At 38.7% G+C, this 25,566-nt stretch overlaps 2 long non-coding RNA genes across 2 annotated transcripts in view; one reads left to right on the top strand and one right to left on the bottom strand.

The window, feature by feature from the left end:
• Window positions 1-4,955: 4,955 nt before the first annotated feature.
• LOC105377273 (uncharacterized) overlaps window positions 4,956-25,566 on the bottom strand; it is a 44,709-nt gene continuing 24,098 nt past the window's right edge. Inside the window, exons 2-3 of the long non-coding RNA XR_938873.2 lie at window positions 6,361-6,445; window positions 4,956-5,112 (exon numbers count right to left, since the gene is read on the bottom strand). This is a non-coding gene — a long non-coding RNA (uncharacterized LOC105377273). The remainder of the gene's footprint in view (window positions 5,113-6,360; window positions 6,446-25,566) is intronic.
• Window positions 9,070-23,926, top strand: LOC107986286 (uncharacterized). Its single transcript, XR_001741718.1, has 3 exons — window positions 9,070-9,274; window positions 18,342-18,454; window positions 23,912-23,926. It is a non-coding gene; the product is annotated as an uncharacterized LOC107986286 (long non-coding RNA).

Genomic DNA, 25,566 nt, shown 5'->3' with positions numbered 1-25,566 from the left:
TTAGGAGTGAGGATTTCAACACATGAATTTTGGGGGGACATAAATAGTCAGTCTATAGCACACCCAAAGTCTGTAACTTACATTAGCGTTCATGCTTGGTGTTGTACATCCTGTGAATTTTGACAAATGTATAATGACATGTACATACCATTATTGTGTCCCACAGAAGAGTTTCACTGTTCCAAAAATCCTCTGCTCTGTAAAACTTTTAAATAATCATAACTTAAAATCTATATGTGAATGTATAAAAGATTAGAATTAAATTCAGCAGCATGTTTTAAGAGTGTTGATACTTGCTTATAAATTCAGATTTCCTGCTTGCTCAGAGGGTGCTGCTGTTCTTTCCTAAAATCTGGTCTTTTGTTAGATCACTCCAGGTCTGTCTTTCATGTTTGTATTATTAGACCCAAATAATGGTGAAATGGAATCACTTAGGCTAGAAGATAGTTCTTTTTTTGCAGGAAAATTTATAAAAACAATTAGATATGTGGGGGAAGAGGATCCACTTACCTTCATCTAAGAGCAGTGAAATAAATCTGTTAGGGATATACACATAGCTCCAAAAGATTCATCTTCATATTGAGGAGCGACGCACATTTGGAGCCCCAGATGCTCATATGATCCGTACTTTCAGACATTCCAGCAGTGGTATAAATGTGTTAAAAATCCTGGCAGGCCTGTTCTCTGCAAAGCTACCATGGTAGTGATGATGTGGTAGTGTGGAGAGAGCATAGATGTGAAGAATTGAGCTTTATAATTTGTTTTTAAATGTAGTTACATACATGGGAGCAAATAAATTAATGATAGCATTTTAAAGGGAGAAAAGGCTCAGGGAATGACATTCTGGGAAAAAATATCTAGCAATCTACAAAATAATGCCTGTTTCAGACTTTCTTGTTTTGTTCCTATTAATTTTGGAAATATGTTGGCTAGAGAAAGAAAAAATTAAAGAGGAAATATTGTTTGATTGTGAATGAGATTTAAAAATTTCCACAGCATTCCTTAAATAGGAATTATAGCTCTGTCTGAAGATAGACAGTTGTAAGATTACAGCTAGGATAAGCCAACTTCATAGATAGTTTCAGAAAATAAAAGGCTGATATTTTAATTAAATCCAGAATTTGAAGATTTAAAAAAAAGAGAGATGATTGTTTGTGTATTGTAGGGTAGAGGGCTCATTCTAAGAATGCTTTTTCTTTTCCCCATCACCACCCACTTTCCTGTGAATTACCTATAGGCACAACTGTCTTCTTCAAAACATTGGAATACCACCTTTTGGAATAATTCTTATGTTTTTATAGTGTTTAAATATGGACATGCTTAAGAAGGCAGAGAAGATTTGACTGTGTGGAAATTTACATCTGGCTGTGGATTCAGCATCTTTCCCTCTTGTTATTTGGAGGCAGTGGTGAGAAGGAGCACAGCATGGGGTAAATATGTGGATAGAAACATGAAAGGATTTCTTGGTCTGATGTGTGGCCAGTTCCCCTTGCCCCTTTTCTTTAGTTGACTGAAGTCCATTACAAACATGACTCTAGCGATCCATGCAGATTTCTCTTCTTTAGAGTATTGTGCATCGTGCCAATATGTATTCTATTCCTGAGATGCTTTTGTGTAAATAAGAAATGCTACTTAACCAAAATCAATACATACAAACTAAACAGCAAACTTTCAAAGTGTCTCCATGACATAGATTAGCAATGCTACCTCTAATTCATTATTTATGTAGTAAAAGTTTGTGGGAATATGTGTGAGAGGGAGTAGAGGAGCCTAGAGAATCTTCCTGCTCACATCAAAGATGTTAGGATATCAGGGACTGTTAGCAGGACTTCTTTCTGCAAAGGAGTCTCCAAGACTTCTGGAGAAAGAAAACTAACTAGGTAACTAACTAGTCAACTAATTAACCACACTGGACACTTGTGTTGTGTGTACCTTTCTGAATATATGCTATACTTAACAAAATTTACATAAAAAATTAACGGCAGGCGCCGAGGCCACTGGGGTTCAAGCAATTAAACAATAAAGGGAGACAAATATTGACTACTGGTTTCTGGCAGAAATATGACCCATATGTAGGAGCCTTAGCTGGAGATAGCTTACAGGTCCCAGAGCTTGGATATCGTTTGATTGCTATTGGAGAGAAATGTTGTTGAGGGCATCAGTAACAAATATTCTCTAACATAGCTATGCGTAAATGTGTCTCAAGTTTCATCAGGGAAAGAACCATAAAAATTGAAATAAACAATTATTTAGTGCTCAAGCAAATACTTCTATACACTTGGGGAATGGATGCTTGTTTGCTGGAAAGAGACCACCAACAAAAGTGAAATATGAGAATTGCTTAACAAGTTGGCCAGCAATGGTAGAAGCATGACTGCTGGAAGGAAGAATAGAAATGACAGTGGCAATAACAGAATTGGTTGGAAAACATAATCCAGGGAGAAATGATCCTCCAGGACTCAGTGAGACAGAGAAGTGTTATGGATTTTGAAGTTCAGGATTCAGTGTCAAAACACCACTGTGATTCTTACTGACGCCCTGTAACTTCCTCCTCCCCACGCTAGACCTTCTCTCACAAGTGACTGGGAAAACAGTTGTCATATTCTTATTGCCATTTGAATGTTCATCTCATCTTAGTTGTTTCCTAAACTGGAATGATTTCAGAAAATAAGGTTTATTTTTAAATTAAAATAGATAGTGTATAGATGGTGGACTTTGTTTAAAATATATCTTTGTGTAAATATAATTATGTAGGTATATTTAATCCTTTCTTGTGGCAATATTCAATACACATAGAGCTAATATGCAGCTCATTTATTTAGGGCATTGTATTAAGTGCTGACTTGGGTACCAAGAAGTTAAGAACCAGTCTTAGCTCTCAAAAACTTTAGTGACAGAACCGATAAAGTATAATATTAATCTGTTTCTAGGTTTTCAGTTTTAGGGCTAGGGTGTGGGTTTGTGGGATGAATTATTCAAGGTAGGCTAACTGCTGTAGAAAGAAAACATAACCAAACAAGTCCCAAATTGTACAGTTTATATATCACAATTTGTTGCAGGTTAGTGAAAGCGGAAGGGTCTATCCACTCCATGCAGAAATTTAGGGCCCTAGACTCCTTCCATTCCACGCCTCTACCATCTTATTGGGGTTTGGATTCCTCCATTAAATTCCCTGCATCTGGGCTTCAGTTGCAGACCAGGCCTGGAAGTGGCAAATGTCACGTCTCCGACATTCCGGTGGCCAGAACTAAGCTCCATGACCCACTGACTACGAGAACTGAGAAATGTAGTCTTCCTGTGTTCCCAGAGGAAAATGAATTGGGATCAACATGACACATAGCATGGTCTCTGCCATTAGAAGAGTTCTCTCAGGCTGACATTTTCTGATTTCTGGGAGCTTGAATTGAATTTGCTCATCAGATATTAAATTTCTCCATTTAAATAAGTAATGGAAGCAGGGAGTACAATGAAAACTTATGAAATACCTATGGTATATATTCATGATCTCAATTAGTCCTCAAACTGTGTACTTCAATGATTTCATTTATAGTTGCTGAGGCTAGGAGAAGCTAGGCAGGTTGCTTGAAGCCACTTCACTGGAGATTGGTGGAATAGGTATTTAGATCTGCAAGTCTGTTTTTAAGGCATTTGTTCTTTCATTATTCTCTGTAGGAGGGAGTTTGGCTCAGGATGAATAAATATTTGTTGAATGAATGAAAAAGATAAAAGAATTAAGTTATTCCAAAAGACAAAAGTAAGCAATTCAGAAAAATACAAGAAATATTAATGAGATTTAATAATGAATCAAAAAAGGACAGAAATTGTAAATGTATATTTTAGAATTATGAGAAGGTGCTCAGTGTTTAGTTTGTAGTTATTTCCCATCTTGAACCCAGAGAGCAGTGATTGGTTCCTTTTTTTGAACCATTCATTCATTCAACAACTATTTAATGAAAGCCAACCATATGTAAATCATGAGATGCAGTGATAAGACAGATACAGTTCTTTCCTTCGTGAAGCTTACACACATGGGAGAGAGATGAATAACCACTTTGGGTAGCTTTTGTTGGATTTGGGCAGCCCTTTCTCTTCTATATATGCTGCAGTTTAAATCTGCCTAATGATAGTTTTATTTTGTCTAGGCAGAGAAGAGAACTACTTCTTGTGAAGCAGTGTTTTGGGAATTCTTTTTGTGGTGAAGCAAAGTAATAAGAAAGTTGTTTCGGCCAGGCGCGGTGGCTCACGCCTGTAATCCCAGCACTTTGGGAGGCTGAGGAGGGCGGATCTCCTGAGGTCAGGAGTTTGAGACCAGCCTGACCAACATGGTGAAACCCTGTCTGTACTAAAAATACAAAATTAGCCAGGCATGGTGGTACATGCCTGTAATCCCAGCCACTGGGGAGGCTGAGGCAGGAGAATCACTTGAACCCAGGAGACAGAGGTTGCAGTGAGCTGAGATTGCACCATTTCACTCCAGCCTCAGCAACAACAGTGAAACTCTGTCTCAAAAAAAAAAAAAAAATTGTTTCTTGTGGCTGAAGGCTTTTAAGCATCAGTCTGCTTTTCTAGAAATTGTTGGATGACTTCTCCCAAACACAACAAGGACTCAACATTTAATTATAGTATACCAAATACACTTCATGTAGTGATATGGTTAAATAGATGCCAAAAAATTTAAAAGTTGCAACTTTTTAGCTCTGCAAAATCAGCCTTCTCTCAAGCTTATGTTCCTTCTTCTCACCTAAATCCTGTGACTTTGTACTTCCTGAATTGATCCGTGGCAGAAAGGAGACTGTCCTTAAAGCTGGGCATGTTGAAGAGAAAATGTCAGGTTCTGGGTGATACTTTTTCACTAACTGTATAGCTAGTGAGTCCCTGAGTGAAAATCAGACAAGTAAAAGAAAACATTATAGCAGAATCATGATTATTTGTTTATTTAAAAAATAAGAGTCCGCTTATAATTTAACATACATTTAGATGCTAAATTAATTTATAATATAATGTTTTAAGTCACATTAAGTTCTATGTATTCAATGGCCCATACAGATAATACTCCTGGATACACATTTGGCTTTCCATATCTGTGGGTTCTGCATGTATGGATTCAACCAACTGCAGAGAGAAAATATTTAGAAAAAATAAATAAATAGTCGTGTCTGTACTGAACATATACAGACTTTTTCTTGTCATTTTACCCTAAACAATGCAATGGAACAACTATTTACATAACTTTCACATTGTATTAGATATTATAAGTAATCTAGAAATAATTTAAAATATACAGGAGGATGTGTGTATGTTATATGCAAATAGCACACCATTTTATATAAGGGATTTGTGCATCATGGATTCTGGTATCCATGGGGCATCCTGGAACCAGTCCCCCATAGATACTGTGGGGATGACTGTATACTATCGCTTGCTGAAGTTTTCTTAAAATATTAGTTTGAGAAATCACCTTTCTCCTGTTGAAATGCTAATCAGATGTACTTAATTTTTGTAAATTATTAAATCCCATCAAAATTTCTTGAATTATTCCAGGATTACTCACCTTGGTCTTTTTATATAGCTAAATTATTGTTTTTAGTCTTGTTTTGGTCATTCAACAAATAGTTATTCATTATGTCCTATGTATCAGGCCCTATCCTAGGTGCTTGGGAACCATCTATGAGCCAACTGGAAAAAGTCTGTGGTCTTGACCTTTGTTGTTGCACAAGGAGATAGTGTAATAAGTCAATAATGGTTAGGGAGAGGGCCACCTGAGAAGGTGACATTGGAGCGAAGACTTGAAGGAGATGAGGGAGTAGCCCAGTGGGTACCTTGGGGAAGAGAATTCCAGGCAGCAGGAACACTCCTTGCAAAGGCCCTGAGGCAGGGCATGCTTGACATATTTGAGGAACAGCAAGGAGGTGAGTGTGGTTGGAGCTGTGCCAGGAGAGATGAGCTCAGAGCTGTGAAGTGGGCCAGACTGTGGGCACAGTGCGGGACATGGCAAAGAACTTGGCTTTCACTCTGAGGGAAATGAGAAACTACTGCAGGTTTTTGACCATAGTAGGGACATGGTCTTTGTCTCTGTTTTCCTTTGTTCGTATGCTCCTTTGCTTTTGGATATTTTGGTTATATTTATAATTGTGTTATTAGTAGTCTATAATCATGAGCAAGTTCAAATTTTTATCTCAACAAACAATTCTTCATTTGTGGATTCCATGTGTTCAAAGGATTTCAAATTCTCACTGTCTGCCTTTGCTTGTGACCCAGTTGGACCAAATATCAGCTTGGATGCACATTTACAGAGAGCAGGTTTTAGTAACCAATCTTACAGTGATGTGATGTTCGAACATTTTTCATTTTGTAACTTACCGGATCCTATTTCTTCTAGATGGATTTCTGAACTTTTCCATTTTCCCCTTTGCCCCAGAATGCATTCTGCTCGTACATGATGGCTCTAAACATGTTTGGAAATATAAGCAAGCATGGATTTACCCACTTCTATTCTGTGAATGGATTGTGTGACACTCACCTGCTATAAGGGAGTGTTCTGTGTTTTCCAGTTAGGTTAGGAGGGTGATTTTTGGGTCTTTCCCTAGGTCTGAAGAGGTTGTTGCCCAGTTTGCCCTGTTCACTTGAGACCATGGGTGTGAACTTTGTGAAGGGCCATGCATCTGACTTGGAGCAATGGGCCCATCTGAGAAATATCATTTAATATGCTGCTGTTTGCATGTAAAGAGGTGAGGGATTAGAGTATGAAACTTGTTGTTAGTTACTAGTAATAGAAGCAATTTTATTTGGTAGATGGTGAGGTGAAGTGGGTTGCTGACAGTCACCATAAACACCTGAGAAAAAAGAGTGAGAGAAGTTTCGGTCTGGTCGTGATACAGTCCCTTAGACAAGAGGGACAAAAGCACTACTTGAATTGCTCACATGGTTCAGCTCTCTCACCAAGGGCTCCATTGAGACTCCAGGGTAATGAGACAATTCTGCTCCTTTTCCTTGTTGTCTGTGCCCAAATCACTTTTCAGGCACTCAGTAGGGCTAAATCATGATTTTAATGGGCCTTAGGTACTATTGACTTTATTGACCCTCTTCCTCTATAAAAAGTATTAAAAATTATATTTTATGACGTGTTGGTGTAAGGACAAATATATTTATATTATTTTTAAATTTTTAGGACCTAAAATATTTTTCTCTTTGATCTTAAAAGAAATAAAAACATTTTCTGAACTTCTAAACATATTTTGGACACTAGACCCTGTAATGGATAAGTTGGTCTTGAGTCTCTGGGGGTGGCTGTAATTATGGAAGGAGGTTGAGGATTCAGGAATCCTAGTCTCAGCCAAGTATGAACTGATAATCAGTGAAAATCTGAGCTTGAGAAGAGTCTAAAACAAGGATTGAGCTTATATAGCTTGTTTAAAAAGTCTGAGTGGAGGCCAGGCACAGTGGCTCATGCCTGTAATCCTAGCACTTTGGGAGGCCGAGGCAGGCAGATTACAAGGTCAGGAGATTGAGACCATCCTGGCTAACATGGTGAAAACCCATCTCTATTAAAAATACAAAAAATTAGCTGGGCGTGGTGGCGGGCGTCTGTAATCCCAGCTACTTGGGAGGCTGAGGCAGGAGAATTGCTTGAACCTGGGAGGCAGAGGTTGTGGTGAGCCAAGCACCATTGCACCCCAGCCTTGGCAACAAGAGCAAAACTCCGTCTCAAAAAAAAAAAAGAAAGTCTGAGTGGCTGGGTGTGGTGGCTCACACCTGTACTTCCAGCAATTTGGGAGGCCAAGGTGAGAGTTTCTCTTGAGGCCAGAGTTTGTGACCATCTAGGCAACATAGCGAGACCCTGTCTCTACAAAAATTAAAAAAAAAATTGAAACACTCTGAGTCTTTTAACAACTGTGGAAGGAAAGAAAGTGGGGTTTTGTTGTTGTTGCTATTGTTTTTGAGACGAGTCTCACTGTGTCGCCCAGGCTGAAGTGCAGTGGTGCGATCTCGGCTCACTATAACTTCCATCTCCCAGGTTTGAGCGATTCTTGTGCCTCAGCCTCCCCAGTAGTTGAGACTACCGGCATGCGCCATTATTCCTGGCTAACTTTTTTTGGTATTTTTACTAGAGACAGGGTTTCACCATGTTGGCCAGGCTGGTCTCAAACCCCTGACCTCAAATGATCTGCCCACCTTGGCCTCCTGAAGTGCTGGAATTACAGGTGTGAGCCACCGCGCTCAGCCAGAAAGTGGTTTTGTTGGTGATGTTCATCTTTTATCCCACTGTTTCTTTTTATAAAATGGCTGCAGCTGAAATATAATGATCAAGGGTTACATAGAAAGATTGGGAACCAAAGACATGAACCAAAGACTTTTCTATCTCCACTATTGGAGCATGGGATATTTTAATTGAATAAATGACTGATCACATCAACAAATATTTACTGATCACCTATATGTTCAGGACACTGTGTGGTGCTAGGGTCCTAGTGCGCAAGATTGGCCTGCTGCTTGTTGTTGGAGTCAGTAGTCCCGAGTTAGGGTGGGCGGGTGTAAGAATAGGAGAGAGATGAGTGACCAGGAAGTTATAATACAGAAGGTTGCACCTGATCAAAGGGAAAACACAAGGTTCTGGGAAAGCTCATGGGAAGGGTGTTTAACACAGATTTGCAAGGCAAATAAGGCAGATAAGGCTTTCCAGAGTAACTGAAATTGACATTAAGGCCTGTAGGGTAAGTGGGAGTTAGCCAACTGACCATAAGACAAAAAAAGGGAGGAAGAGAAGGAGGAGGGGATGATAGTCTCAAGCAGCCTGAAGAGAGCTAAGGGTGGGGTGGAAGGCAAGAATTAGGACAGCAGACAAACAGGATGCATTAAAAGAACTACAAGGAACTGGGCATGGATGGAGCATAGAATGCATTTGGGAAGGAGAAGCTGTAGAATTAGGCAAAGGCCCTAGAAGCAAGGTTTTTAAAGCCATGGTGGGTGAGAGCTTGAACTTTAAGAGCAGGAGTATTTTAAGCAGTGGGAGTTTCCACTGTAGCGTTTTAAGCAGTGGGAGTGACATATTTGTGCTTGCATTTAAGAAAATCCTTTTAGGAAGTGTAACAAAGAGAAGCTGATTCAGGTGGGCCTAACAGACATTTGCAACTGAGACCCTGGTGTTTACAAGAAGGAGACAATATAAGCAGAGTTCCTCTTTGCGGATTGATATTGAATGCAGCCTATTCACATCTGGGTGTGATAACTCTATAAAATTGCTGCCTAATTTGGCCTTTCTTATGACCACATTCATGTAAGTACCACATCTTAGTAGACATTTACCTTCTCTTCTTATCCTTTTCCTCTGCCTTTTATCCTGTAATCCTCCAAATTTTTGCCTTAACTTCTATCCCTTTCTAGAAGAAATAGCTCAGGAATGCCAACCTCCTGGTAAGACTGCATTTCAGCAGTAGAGTCAGGACCAGCAGCCTCTGGCAGCACCTTGCTTTGGCTCTTGGATGAGAACTCTAGACAAAAATGTGCTGTAGTTTTTTTGGAAATCACCTGATTTTTGAATTGGCCAAGAAATGCCACTGCCTTAGCAATTTGCAGAGAAAAGCAGATTGTTAGTAAGTTGTCACCATTCAACCTCTAAAGCTGCCAAATTTGCCTCAAGCTGGACCAGAGGTGGTTCCATCTCTCAGGTTAATTTGGGGGAAAAAAATCCTGGAGTGGTGTGGAAGAGAAAGGTGGGTAGAAGTTTGAGGTGCAAGTCCTATCAGATGTTTCTTTTTTTCTTTTTTTTTTTAAACGCACACTCTCCATCTCCTCTAATTAAAAAGTCATGCAATCCACAGATGTTGGCTTGGCAAGTGTGAACAAGGCAGTCAGACAAATGAAGCAGCAGAGTGTTCAGTGTGCCAGGTACCGGGGCATGAGTTTTCACAGAAGCAACACCTTCCCAGTTCACTGGTGAACAGTAAAAACATTTTACTCTCTGTCCTCCTTTCTTCTTTGGGGTTTTAGAAAAACACAGGGTGGGGAAGTTGGGTGGGGCTGGTGAAAAGGGAGAAAGTACTGAAAGATGTTTTTCTATAGAACAGCTGGGCTCTCTGTACCCTATCTTGTGCTTGGTTTGGGTTTTATATGTCCACAGTTGAAATATATAAAAGCTAGGTACCAAAAGAATTGAAAAGTCATCTGGAATAAAGATGGGGGCTGAACATGACCTCATGGGAAGAATGTTGCTCAGTGGAGACAAGTGGGAAACTTACATAGATGTGGGGGGCTCACACACTGTTCCTTTCCAGGGAAGGGCTGGTCGGGGGCAGCATGCCAAATGCTGGTAAAATGTTTTGAAGGGCAAACCTAACATGGCCAGAGCATTTGGAATTTTTTTGTTGGCTTCTTTCTACTGCCGCATTTTCCAAGTCCTTCTTGGGCATAGGAAAGCTGTCTTCATTTCCTTGCAGGGTGTTAATTCCCTAATATGTAGGCCTTTGTCTCATTGACTAAATCCAAGCCAAAGATGAGAAAATTAGAAATATATTGTCTCACAGTTCTGTGAAGATTGAAGTTATTTATACTGCCACAAGCCAAAGAACTTCCAGAAGCTAGAAGAGAGGCTTGGAACAGATCCTCCCCTAGTGCCTTCAGAAGGGCATGGCCTGCTGACAACTTGGTCTCAAACTTCTAGCCTCCAGAACCATGAGACAATAAATTCCTGTTATTGAAGCCATTCAGTTTTTGGGACTTTGTTATGGCAGCCCTAGGAAACGAATATACCACCTTAACCCCTTTAACAAGGTGTCAGAATATATCTGCTCCTAATGAATATGTCCTTTATTTTAAAATAAGGAGAAACTGTTCTTTATGAGACTTGAAAAAATCCTTCTGCATTTTAAGAGGGATTTGAAAGACACTTAAATGTTCTCTACATTTAAATAACTGTTAGAATGAGTGTAATTAGGCAACTTCACGTAAATTACTTACCTCTCCAAATAACATGTATATTTCAAAATTGTTAGTAACTACAGTTTCCTGCTTACATCAAAGGGTTGCTTTAAAAAAACAAACTAAAGAGTGTGAAAATGCTTTGTGAACTATAAAATACTATAAACTTTTGTTGACATTAGTCAAATTTATGATTGTTGCTTTATTTGTGGTTTGCACTCTACTTGCTTTAAAAATGGATTTGAGACCTCTTATAATGAAATCTACAAACACTAAGAGGATTAAAACAGAAAAAAAATTATAAAACCACTTAGGAGAAACAGAGTACAAACATACCCCAAATTCTAAATTAAAATAGTGTGGCAGAGAGTGCCTTAGTCTAAATTAAAATAGTGTGGCAGAGGGTGCTTTAGCAAGCAGCTAGCCTACCGTTCCTAGACTTCCTTGCAGATAGATGTGGTCATGTGACTGCATCCTAATGAATGGAAGTGATGTGTGATATTTCCAGATCTGAGTCATATGCTATAATCCATTCACAAAGGATGGAATGGTGACATGAAAACCAAAATGATCTTGGAAGCCACATGTTGATTATGGCAGAGCTCTGTTAGCCTCGAGGGACTTTGAGGAGCTGATCCTTTCTCTCCTCCATAAAAGGCAATCATGAACATCAGACCTGGGCTGCATATGAGAGCATCATGAACCTTTTTTGTCATTACATTTTGAGTCTGTTTGTTATAGCAGTTTAATCTAACTACTCTCTCTCTCTCTCCACACACACACACACACAGACACACATAACCTGTATTTGAGTATTCAATTTAGCTTTCAACATTTCTGAATCACAAACTGCTAAAATTGGAGACACTTTAGAGATCTAGTCCACCTCATTTGTTTTTCAGGTTATTCTCTTTCTGTGTGTCAAATCCTTCAATGTCTCCAGATTGCCTTCATAATTAAATGCAAAATCTTTAATATGGCTCACAATACATGTTCCCATGTCTCTTTACTTTTTCACCTTGTTTCTTGTTATTCTCTTTCTCACAGACCCTTTTCCAGTTAAACAGAAAGACTTTCCTTTCTTTATCATTTTTATGTGTGTGTGTACTTGCTCTTTCTAGACTATTCTTTCTCTTTTTCTTGCCTATTTCAAGATTAGCTTAACTGTCACCTTCTCTGGAAAGCATTTCGTAGCTATCCCCTCTATCCTGACTGGTTTGATACCCTCCTTATAAGGATTTTTCAACTAACATTCATTGAGGCAGAAAACTTTCATTGAAATGCTTTGGTATCTCTAATGTCTAGCACAGTCTCTGAAATGTTTTTCAAATAAGTGAACAAATTATTTCAGCAAATATTTATTGAGTGCTCCTGGTGTACTAGGCACTTTGTTAAGTGCTGGGCATACAATGGTAACCAAGAACTGACAGAGCACTTGCTTTCATGGAGATATAGCCTAGAGGGGGAGACAGACATCAGTCAAATACACACACAAATAAAAATACGGTAACGATAAGTGCTGCATATACACAAATATCAGCCATTAGTTACTGTGAACTTTTTAGCACTTGAGCAGAAGAAAGTTATGGTTCAGCATTCAAAAATATTGCAGTTTCAGAACATGCAGGATTATGGAATACTATAAATAATATTCATAGCTATCATGTATTGAGCCTTTACTATGGGCAAAACGCTTTAAAAGGATTATCACATTAAGAGCTCACTGAGTCCTCATGAAACTGTAGCAGGCATAGAAAACTATTGTAGATAAATGAATGTGTAATTATGATCTTCAGATCAAATTCAGAATCAAAACTATTTGCAAACTATCAAAACTATCCCAAATGGACTGGGCAATTGATTTTTAGGAATGCCTCAGACCTAGCTCTGATGACACCCAGTGTTGCCTAGGAATTGACCTGCAATTCTTCACAGAGAGAATGAAAAAAAACAATTCTTCTCAGATCTGGGAAAACCTCACTCCAAATCAGTGGTACCATTGGCATCGGTATATTCTTGTGAGCAATAAGGGAGGCCTGGAAAAGTGTATCTCCACCTGAGAGTTTACAGTATGTTTCCTCGCTCCCTTTCTGTCCCTTTTCCTGCCTCCCTTCCTTTATGCCTTCCTCCCTTTCTCTCTCTTTCTGTTTTTTCTTTCCTTTTCCACCATTAGTCCTCTCCATTCAATCATTACTCCCATTTTTCAGATGGGAAAGTTGAGACTTAGAGGGATTATGTTGCAAAGATAATAAATAATAGAGCTAGGGGTGTTATGTGATCTACCTAAATTAAATTATAGAAAAATAAAGAAAGCTCTATTATCATGCATCTGATAATGAAAGGCTCTCAGACACAATAAGAAAAAAATAGGTTTATAACTTTAGCTATCTAAATAAAGGCAGCACTCAGGTTTTTCAGGTGAAGCATCTTTGACTCTTAATTATAGGAGGAATTGTGAATTTTATGATCATTCATTTATTCACAGATAGGAGTGAGAAGGTTACATAGGATATTGTTTTTGCTCTGCAGAAGAGTGAGGCAGATATACAAGCAAACATAGGACACAGTGCTAAGTGCTATGATAGAGGATCTGTTAAATGTTATAAAAATGCAAAGAAAGCAGGAACAAGATTTCCATGGATGATCAGGAATGACATTAATGAGGAGCTGGCATCTGATTTGGCCCTTTAATATGAGTGGAAATTCATGGAAAAGATAAAGAGGAGTGATATTGTAGGCAGAAGTACAGAATGTTCAAGAGCTAGGAGGTGTTACTGGGCATATAGGAGAAGGGTGAAGAGCTGAACGTGGTGGTCACAGAGGGCACTGGGAGTAGCTGGGGAGGAAAGTAGACCACATAATGAAAGGCCTTATAGGCCATGAATAGACATTTAGATATCATCTTGTACAAAATATAAAATGAGATTAATGAAGATGCTTAGGGCAGGGAAAGTAAATAAACAGATTGACATTTGCAAGTGGTACAGTGGCAATAGAAAAGAATGAGTGCTTTCAAAAGGATATTTCCCAAATAAATTTAGAAGATAGAAACCATGGGACATGGTGGCAAAAATAATTTAGGTGAGAGGAAAGACTATAGCTATGCTCTCCAACAGAATAGCCATATGTGGCTATTTAAATTTAAATTAGTTAACATTAAATATATTAAAAATTCAGTTCTCCATTCACACTAGCTCCATTTCAAGTGCTCCATAGCCACAGGTGGCTTGTACTACCATACTGGATTTCCGTCATCACTGGAAGTTCTATTTGACAATGTTGGACTAGAGAATTGCTCTGTTTAAATTTGGACAGTGAATGACAATTGCACATCAGAATAGGGAATATAAGAAAAAAATTTGAAAGAAAAAGAAACAAACTTCTATTTGGAGACATTGAATCTGAGATGTGATTGGGCATCCTGTTGAAGATGTCGATTGAAGCTGTGAGAAATTGGATTTGGAGCTCAAGAGAGAGGCAAGGGTTAGAGATAAATATTTCAAGAGTCTTCAACTTATAAGTATGAGCTAAAAAGCCAGGGAAGTGGGTATGAGAAGAGGAACAGGAATACCCATAGGCCTCCCTCATTTAAAGCGGGGCAGAGGAATAGTAAGTATAGTATGATAAAGCAATCCAGGGAGCAATCTGAAAAACCATAGAAGAATTCTAAGGGTCGATAACAAATTAGGAAAAGATGTCCAAAGCTTTGGAGCACCAAAACAGGATTTGTCCTGAAAAGACTCCTTAGGCTTTGGAGGTCAGGAAGTCATTAGTAATCTTGCCTGGAGTAGTTGCATGAAGTGATGGGAGAAGAAGCCAAATTGCAGCAGGGCTAGGATGAAATGGGCATGTGGGGCTGGGTAGGTGGTATAGGGGACACAACCTCTCCCTCCTTCAGGAATTTTGGCTGTGAGAGTGAGAAAGAGAGGTAATTAGCTTGAGAGACAGGCAGGGATGAGGGAAAGTTTTTATTTTTTAGAAAGTGTGAAATGTGAATTTTTTTAACTGTAAGGAAAGAGTGGGTGGAGTGGAAAAGTCATACATGACCTCAGAGTAAAGGTATAATTACTGAGCCAAGTGTGAGAGATAGTGGAAGAAAAGATGAGTGAGCCTTGGAGAGGAAAAGAGACACTTGTTTCTCAGAGCCAGGGTGGAAGGAGAGAATGATTAATACTTGGGGTGGAGGTAGAGAAATTTGGAACTGTTGACCTCTCAGTTTTCTAATATAATGCTTTAAACTATGATTTATAGGCTACATAGAAATATTATGTATATGGCTTATGTTGAACCCTGATGAAAGCTAAAGTCATGACACCAACATGTAACTCAACTCATGTAATTTGTAGTGTGGTAAGCTAATGAGGTTTAAATGTACAGTATTCCAGATTGGAATGTCTTGATAGTACATTCCTTAGGCTAGCTCCTCATATGTTGGACTTCTGAAGAGCAAGTTAATAATCATCAGCTTAAAGTTGAACTTAGTGATAAGTGAGAACTAAGGAGGACAAAACAGATAAATAAATCCATACCCGGAAACATCACAACCAAATTGCAAAGCATCATATGACAGCAATTAAAGAAAAATGGAAAAAAGAACAACGAAGAAAGAATATTGCCTGTGAAAGTAGGTACTTAGATGAACTTGACAAAAGACTTCTCAATGGCAACACTAGAGGTCAGAAGAAATAAGAAAGACATTCTTGAAATAATTTAATAGTTAGACATTCTCACTGAAAAAATTACACGAGGATGTACTTTAGGAATAAAAGCATTGAATGTAGAAGGGAATGAGATGGAAGAAGCAGTGTGACAAAAGAAAGTGATGAACGTGGAAATACATAATTAACACTATATAAAATAAAAATAATTCTGATTAAATTGGATGAAAACACAAAATGGAAATCAAATACTAGCCCATTATAACATGTAAAATAGGAGAGGAGTGATTGGAGTAAAAGATTTTGAAGACTTTTTATTATTTATTATTCAGGAAGAAGATAGATAAATTGTTTCCAATTTTAAGTCAAACTGTCCGTGTGGAAATTGCAAGGGTAACAACTAAAGTTATAGAAACAGAATATATGAAATTCAAGAAAATTCAAAATCTGAAAATAAAGAAGATAAAAGAAAACAAACCAAACAACAGAACAGGAAAGGAGAATTGTAGAGAAATTTTCACATTTTGGCTACAGGCTCTTTTTAATTTTAATGAAAAAAATTTTCTGTCAATTGAGTGATTCTGCATATATAGCTTGAAGGAAAAGGGAGAATATACAGTGTTCTTTCATGCCCACTAAAATGTCAATGAACATAGTGCTGTGTTAGTGTTATACAATATTAGTTCAGAGATGAAATGATCATATAAATTCCAATAGATTAAGAGAAAACTATTAGAAGTAAAAGAGATTAGCAAAGTTTTGGGTACAGGACGACTTATAAAAATCAATAGTATCTTCCCATATCAGCAATTATTAACTAGAAAATATAATAGAAATAATATGCTATTTATAATATTACTCCAAATGAATAAGTTTCTAGAAATCCACCTTACAAAGAAAGCCAGTCTCTTTCTGGAGAAATTTTAAAAACTCAATTAAAAATAGAAAAGATTTTTTTTTGAGACGGAGTTTCGCTCTTGTTGCCCAGGTTGGAGTCAATGGTGCGATCTCGGCTCACTGCAACCTCTGCCTCCCGGGTTCAAGAGATTCTCTTGCCTCAGTCTTCCGAGTAGCTGGGATTACAGGCACCCGCCACCATGCCCAGCTAATTTTTGTATTTTTAGTAGAGACAGGGTCTCACCATGTTGGCCAGCTGATCTTGAATGCCTGACCTTGGGTGATCCACCCAACTTGGTCTCCCAAAGTGCTGGGATTATAGGCATGAGCTACCGCTCTCAGCCCAAGAGATTTTAAATAAACAGACTGATTTAATGTAGCAAAGAAGTCAATTTACCTCAAAGGAATCTACAAACTCAATACAATTCTGGTCAAAATGTTATCAATATTTTTAAAAGAATTTAAAAAACTCTCTCTAAAATATGCTTGAAAAAATAAAAGTCCATGGATAGCTAAGCCATATTAGAAAACAAAGAGAAAGGAGAGCATTTACCATACCAGATATTAAGACACTCAACGATAATATGGTTAAAAAATATATTGGTTAAGGAGTGGACAAATAGATCAATGGAATAGAATAAAAAGCTCAGAAATTGACCTGTATATATGGAAAACTTTAAAAAATAGCTAAAAAATAAAGTAACACATTAAAAATAGTGAACAAAGTAATGATTTTAGCGATATTAGGAAAATTCTTGCTCATGAAGAAAAATAAGCTCAGTTCCCTACTTTAGACCGTATAGAGGCAATTCGGTATGAATTAAAGATATTTCTGCAAGCTAAAAATTATGAAGGTAATTGAATAAAATAGTTCTGTGCCTGAGTGTTGGTAAAAGGCCTTTTATATAAGAAACAAAAATACATAATAAGGAAAAATATTGTTCAGTTTGACCATATTAAAATGAAGAATTTCTTTTCAATAGACACCATACACAAAGTTAAAAGATGAATGAAAATACAAAAAGATAGAAAGATGCTACAGTGCCTGAAACTCAAAATGGACTAATATATAGAAAGGCATCAATTGCAACATTAATAAGAAAAAGACTAGAAAACTAATGAAAAAATTGGCTGAAGATATGAGAAAGCAATTTAAAGAGGAACATCTGAATGGTTAATAAGTTCATAAAGAGAGCTCAAATGCTGTAACCAGAGAAATTAAATTAAAGCTACAGTGAGATGCCATGTTAAGGCTATTGGGACAGCAACTGTTACAAATGTGCATAGGAAATGTTGGTCAGGACATGTGGTGATAGGTACTTTAATATTGTCCTGTGGTGTGTGAAGTGGTATGTTCACTGTTGTTATGCCCTATGGTCTAGCATATTCTTTGATGTTTATCCAAGAGAAATTCTTGTACAAGTCAGTGAAAGATCTGTTAAGTAATGTTAAAATGTGAAATAATGTGTGTGTTAGAACTGACAAAAGCATGAAATGTTTAAGACAGGAGAAGGTAGGACAGGCTGGTCAGGTACCTGTAACATTGTTATCCTCTCTCCTGGGTTTGAGTCTTGAGAGAAGTCCATAAAGCCATCCAGATAGCTATGGGTTATATGTGCAGGTCTTTATGCACATTGTTGCTTTTGGCTTAAGCCACATCTAACATGGTGTGAGGGAAAGAAACACAGGTGGAGGATGGAGAAATGAACCTGAGGTGTGCCTGATTCCACAGTGCAGGAGATGTGAAGACAGTGAGAACTAGAGACATGGGCTCAGCGCAATGAGGCAGCAATGTGTGGGGACTTCCTAAAAACAAGCCAATGGCTGGGCCCACTGACTTCAGCAGTGGATGTCTGCATGATGCTCCCATAGGGCCAGGAGTGACCAGCCACATGTCAATGGATGTCATCACAAATGCCCAGGGGCTAAACCTGACTTCACAACTTCAAAGACCCAGCTACGAGGAGATGCATAGAAGCCTACAGGTGAGAAACTTTATCAATCTTACTTAAAATCATGATTTCCCTCATATCAGCAGACAATATTTTAGAGAGGAGAAAGGTGAAGGGGAAGTATTCTAAGAGGACTGAGAACTTACTAAAAAAAAAAATTAACCTGAAAGAAATAGGAAGATATGGAGATGTCTTTAATTGGCATAAGAGTTAGATCAGCTTTAAAATAAAAGTTTTATTTCCCCCCTGTATATCTGAGTATAAAGTTTGAGGCACTACCTTGCCACATTGCCATATGCATTTTCATTGCACCTATTAAGTGTATGATTCACGCTTGACCTAAGCAGATGGAAACCTAATGGAGCCAAGGTACAGGACGGTTCAAAGCAGGAAGCACACTTTTCCAAGGAAACAAGAATCAGTAGGCCATGGTATTCGTGTGTAATGGGCTCACTCACAACCCAGTAAACAGGTCCTTGTGGGATAAAAGCAGGTTCTGTGACTTAATAGTTCTAACAAGCTGAGAAACTTGAGTCAGCTACACTCAGGTGATTTCAGGGCTCCAGTGGAGGCTGGTAATTCCCCCTGTGCCCACAATTTTTCTTATCTGCTGACAGATGCTATCTTTCACTTTTCAATTCTTGGCTAAAGCCGCCCTTCTTTTCCATCAAAATGCATGCATCATGATTTAACACGATTTTTTTTTGTTTGGTTATTTTTTGTTTGACTAGTTAGCATGATTTAACATTGATTTAAAGTAATTTTCTCCACCTTCTTTCGTCACCAAATCTTCCTCTAGTTATTTCTCCCTATTATGCTTTTCAGCGGTAACGTCTACCAACAAAAAGAATTTATTATAAGATAGCTGTTTTCTATTCTTGATTAATCAAAGAAATAGAACAGTTCAAATTAGAACTTCTGGTCTGCTTGAGCTAGCTACTTCTGCTTTACTGAGCTCTTGGTATATTTCAGGCCAAAGCTTCCTCTAGCTCCAGTGCTCACATTTGTCACTTCCAGGAACTCCAAAATGGAGACATAGTGGACAAGAAGCTAGTACAGTGCAGTTTTTGGGAAGGAACATGAGTGGTTCCTAAATCAGTTCACACCCTAGCTTTTTATTGTCATGTAGGTCATTCATTTCAAAGAGTTAATATGACCTCCTGCACTGCTTGGTGGAAATTTAGATGGTTATATTTACATAACAGTATTGTGTTTCAGTGTTTGTCATTGTTATTCTACTTTCAGGAATTCTTTACAAGAAAGTTATATAATACGTGGAAACGTTTATGTATACAGATCTATTCACTGCAGCATTATTTTTAAGTGCAAATAAAATAAGAAAAAGAAAAGGAAGCAAAGAGGTAGCTCTTTCTGACAACTTCTGATAACTCTCTGGCTCTACATTTTAAGTCTCAAAGTTTGACAATTATGAAGCTATGTCAACAGGTTCACCCACAAATTTGAAAATCTTTTTTTGAGTAGTTAATTTTCCCCTTAAGTTCATATAATTTTTCCCCGTCTATCCCATGCATCCTTACAAGTCTGTGGCCATGTCTGTGTCTTACGAACTAAGTTCTGACTATGCCAGACACTCACTGTGGTAAGGACTTTAGAATCTCTGTTGACTGTCAAGCCTGACAGTAGAATGATGACTGAGACTCTCTCTGTCTTCCCCCTTCCATCTCTCTTGTCCCCTATCTACCCTTCTTCTCACTTCTCAAATACACACAATCAAGTAAGCCTCAACTCACCCTTTAGCTTTGCCTTTATCGTCCCTGTTCTCCATCTATACAATCCCACACTTAGTTTTCTCCTGTCTCATGTATAAACTAAAGGATCTTTTAGTTTCATTCCCAGAACTCTTTACTTCTGGCCCCCATCTCCTTGATGTCCTGGAAGCTAAAGGGCAGGAGGCAGTAAGAATGTTAGGTCATAAATTTATGGATTTCTTACTCAGAACAGGAATCTCCCTTCGGTAGGAATAGAAGGATAAGGAAGATCAGCACTAGGGTGGGAGACTAGCCGTGGGTCTTTGGCATCTGACCACTGCTAGGATCCTTACTGGTACCATGACTCCAAGCATCTCTCAACCTCCCAGCTCAGTAGAATAGTTTTCAATGGCTAACACATCTTTTGGGGTCATTTGAATCTATAGAGAACTGCACCTTTCATTGTTTCTGAACTGTTTTACAACTCTTAATGTTGTAAAAAACTGATGGTAGTGCAAATGATTTCTGCTCATAGAAATGCAAACAGATTTTGTCCAGTGATGGTAAAATTGGTTCTGTCTTATGGAGGAGGCAAGCACACTATTGCACCTATTAGCAAATTTATTTCAGCATTCCTGATTGACTATGTGTTTATTCTGTGAATTCTTCTTTGAACAATTTTTTAATCTCTTACTAGTTCTTTCACTAATAAATAAATAAAAACCTTTGACACGTCCAGGCATGGGGGCTCACGCCTGTAATCCCAGCACTTTGGGAGGCCAAGGGCAGGCAGATCATCTGAGGTCAAAAGTTCGAGACCAGCCTGGCCAACATGGTGAAACCCCGTCTCTATTGAAAATACAGACATTAGCTGGGCATGGCAGCACATGCCTGTAATCCCAGCTACTCAGGAGGCTGAGGCAGGAGAATCGCTTGAACCTGGGAGGCAGAGGTTGTGGTGAGCCAAGAGCCATTGCACTCCAGCCTAGGCAACAAGAGTGAAACTCCGTCTCAAAAAAAAGCAAAAAAGCAAAAAAGCTTTGACACATATTCATTGAAATGTAAATGAGGGTCATAATTTTAGTCTTAAGAAATTATCCCTTTATAATTTCATGGGTCTCACTGAGATACCACCTAGATCCACCTGAAAAAGCCAGGTTGATAGCACTGCTGGAGAAGTAAGCCTCATGAGCAGATGAAGCCCAGGTGTGGGCAGATCAAGCTCTCTTCTTGGCTTATAGAGTGAATTTTAGAGACTCTGTTTTTGTAGGTTTTTTTTTTTCCCCGCTGATTTTGTGTTGTTTTTGTTTTTTTGTTTTTTGAGATGGAGTCTTGCTCTGTTGCCTAGGCCAGAGTGCACTGGTGCCATCTCGGCTCACTGCAAGCTCTGCCTCCTGGGTTCAAGCGATTCTCCTGCCTCAGTCTCCTGAGTAGCTGGGACTACAGGTGCCTGCCGCCACACCTGGCTAATTTTTTGTATTTTTAGTAGAGACGGGGTTTCACCATGTTAGCCAGGTTGGTCTCGATCTCCTGACCTCGTGATCCACCTGCCTCGGCCTCCCAAAGTGCTGGGATTACAGGCGTGAGCCACTGCGCCCGGCCTCTGTTTTTGGTTTTGATTTGAGCAGGGCCAATAATTTATTCCTTTTTCTAGTGGCAACAGTGATTGGGAATTTGATTTTTTGGTCTAATTATTTGTCAATATCTGTAAATAGATGATAGAAATCTATTCGCTATTGAGTGAGAGACAGTAGAGAATTCAATTGAGCTTTTATTTGTCTATGTTCTTTGCCTATTTTGAACTCAAATCAGACACTCTTACTGAGTCTCCTAACTTTTTATGACAATATAATTATTTGCATAGGTTTAGTAAGAATCCGCCTTTTTTTTTTTTTTTCAAAACCAAGATAGAGTTAGGCAAATCGATTGTGTAGCCAAGGCTTTATCTGCAGTATTGTATTGGAGAATGAATGATTCTATTCTCAGTTAATCATGTATGACCAGTCATACATGATTTAAGGTAGAAAGGTTGACTTTACTTTCACCACCAAAACGTACCTCCACTCTCCTTCCCAAAAACTGGCCTTGTATCTGGCTCCCAAAGTTCCAGGTTTTCAGATGGTAAGGAACATCACTTCTTCTCAGGTCAGCAACCTCACTAAATTTTGGGGACCTCAAGAAGAGAATAATGTAGCCAAATCTATAGATGCTGCTGTTGGAATATAATCAACACTCTTACAGCACTTATATAAATAACTAGACCAAAGTTGATGAGTCTTATTTTATGATCACAACAATATGAGATTATTATGATCATAGGGAAGAAATATTCCAGGAAAACTTGTGAAAGAGATTGAAATGGGTGAGAAGAGATTAGTGAAAATCTTTTCAGTGGGATGCTAGATGTTTAATGCATCCTTCTAGTTTACCTGATCCTATGAAAATTTGCACCTTCATTGCCTTTGAGCTACTTTATAATGCTTAGTTGTAGAAAATTGATGGTAGTTCCTGTTCCTAGAAATGCAGTGAAATGGCTCACGCCTGTAATCCCAACACTCTGGGAGGCTGAGGTGGGCAGTTCTCTTGAGCCCAGGAGTTTGAGAACAGCCTGTGTAACATGGCAAAACCGTGTTTCTACAAAAAATACAAAAAATTACCCAAACTTGGTGGCACGCAACTGTAGTCCCAACCACTTGAGAGGCTGAGGCGGGTGAATCATCTGAGCTCAAGAAAGTCAAGGCTGCAGTGAGCCATGATTATGCCACTGCACTCCAGCCTAAGTGATGGAATGAGGCCCTGTTTCAAAAAAAAAAGGTACAACTGATCTCACCTTATGCATCGATTAGAAAATTCATTTTAGTATACCTGATTACTTCTGTATCTATTTGAATTCTCTTTTGAAGCAGTTACTTTTGTATATTATTGATTCCCTCATTAATAAATCAGTTAAATATAATTTTGACATGTGTATTAATTTGTTCTCATACTGCTGTAATGTACTGCCTCGGACTGGGTAATTTGTAAAGGAAAGAGGTTTAATTGACTCACAGTTCCACATGGCTGAGGATGCCTCAGGAAACTTACAATTACAGTGGAAGGTGAAGGGGAAGCAAGGTACCTTCTTCACAAGGGAGCAGGAGGGAGAATGAACACAGAAGGAACTACCGAACACTTATAAAACCATCAGATCTTGTGAGAACTCACTATCATGAGAACAGCATGGGGGAAACTGCCCCCATGATCCAATTACTTCCACCTAGTCTCTCCCTTGACAAGAGGAGATTATGAGGATTATGGGGATTATAATTCAAGATGAGACTTGGGTGGGGACACAAAGCCTAACCATATCAACATGTGTTAACATTATATGAGAGTTATAACTTTATATGAGAGTCATGATCTTACTCTTAAAAAACTATCTCTTTACATAATCAGTGGGGAGGAGGAAGCTAAAATGTTTAATTTCCGATATGTAGGGTTGATTTTGCCCTAGTTTTATCTAACTTTAGTTCCTAAACAAGGAGACTGTAATTAGAGTAAAAAGTAAATAGTTATTTGATAAATTTTGGCAAATTCATTGTTGAAATTTCTCTCAGAAATTGAGAAAGTGAAACTCTAAAGTGGGTAACAAATATTTTTCAAAGTGAGCTAGTTTCATATTTGTTTAACAAATATGTCCGTTTGATAGATCATTACAGAAATTTCAGTGATAGATCACTGTGTTACTTTTATAGCACTTTTTCTTTTTTTTTTTGAGACAGAGTCTCGTTCTGTCGCCTAGGCTGGAGTGCAGTGGCGGGATCTTGGCTCACTGCAAGCTCCACCTCCTGGGTTCACACCATTCTCCTGCCTCAGCCTCCCAAGTAGCTGGGACTACAGGCGCCTGCCACCACGCCCAGCTAATTTTTTTTGTATTTTTAGTAGAGACAGGGTTTCACCATGTTAGCCAGGATGGTCTCGATCTCCTGACCTTGTGATCCACCTGCCTCCACCTCCCAAAGTGCTGGGATTACAGGTGTGAGCTACTGCACCCGGCCTCTTAAAATAGCACTTTTATAACAAAGTACCACAAACTGGGTTGCTTAAAACAATAGAAATTTATTGTTTCACAGTTCTAGAGTGTGAAAGTCTGAAATTGAGGTGTCAGCAGGGCTCCCTCTTGAGTCTGTAGGGGCGAATCCTTGCTTACCACTTTAGCTTCTGGCATTTGCTGGCAATCCTTGGTATTCCCTGGCTCGCACCACTCTTAATCTCTGCGTTTGTCATCACATGACTCTTGTGTGTCTTCACATCATTTTTCCTCAGTGAGTGTCTGTGTCCAAATGTCCCTCTTTTATAAGAGCACCAGTCATACTGGATGAGGGGCCCACCCTACTTCAGTATATCCTCATCTTAACCGGTTATACCTGCAACATCTCTATTTCCAAATAAGGTCACGTTCTGAGGTACTGGGGGTTAGAACTTCAACATATGAATTTGGGTAATGGTTAATACAATTCAACCATAACAAGGAGAAGCCAGAAATCTGGTGGAAAGAAATTACTAACTCATAGCCAGAGAATTGACCAAAAACCTTGATAATTTCACATGTTCTTCTCTGTTTTCTTTTGGGTTCTGAGTCAATACAAATTGAGGGTTCTACTGGGTCCCCAGGTACTCATCCCTGGTTGGAGAGCTATTTAGGAGGTAGGTCCATCAGAAGTGTAATTCTATTTCAAAGGTGACTTGGTGTGTGGAGCTCACCTGGGGTAAAGGCAGTGGTAATGTGTGGGTGAACAAAATGGCGAGGTAGACGAGTCCAGATACAAATTGAAAAGGACCTTTCTGCTCTGGATTCACTTCCCAACACATCACAGAAAGTAATTCCTACTGGACCTGGGTAAAGCGTCTTCTCTCCAAGTAGAATGTGACCCTCTCCTTCCAGAGTCACAGATTTATGAGTTTTCCTGTTGGTTTCTTTATTTTCGTCTCCCTAGTTGCCCAGAGGAAAATCAGGATAATTCTGAAAGTAGAACTTTCAACCCAAGCTCTTTTATTGCTCCTAGGTTTGTGGTTTTGAGTATTACTCATACATTTACACCCACAAAGTAAGCTTGAGCCGTTGAAGTGTGGTCATTAATTAATCAATTAACCTAAGTAAATCCTTCCCTGTTATGCATTTCTTGTCTCATCTTTCCAGGGAGTTTGAAACCAGGTTTCCAATCATTTCTGATGATGAAGGATCCTCTGGCTTAGGACTCGCAGTAGAAAAGTTCATGGAAAGCTTAGGGTGTTAACCTCTTTCCTGGTGGTGTTCCAGCTGGTTTTAAATCCGTCTGCTTACTTTGGCTTTCCCACATTACCTCTTTATGTGGCTGTTACAGGAACCTTCCTCTCAGTGTCCAATAAAACCCACCCCATCCCTTCTCAATCTTGCTACAAAAAGTTGGAAAAAAC

Source organism: Homo sapiens, chromosome 4, assembly GCF_000001405.40.
Source record: "Homo sapiens chromosome 4, GRCh38.p14 Primary Assembly".
NCBI lineage: Eukaryota > Metazoa > Chordata > Mammalia > Primates > Hominidae > Homo > Homo sapiens.
The sequence above is the reverse complement of the archived record's forward strand: the minus strand, read 5'-3'. Positions and strand labels throughout refer to the sequence as shown.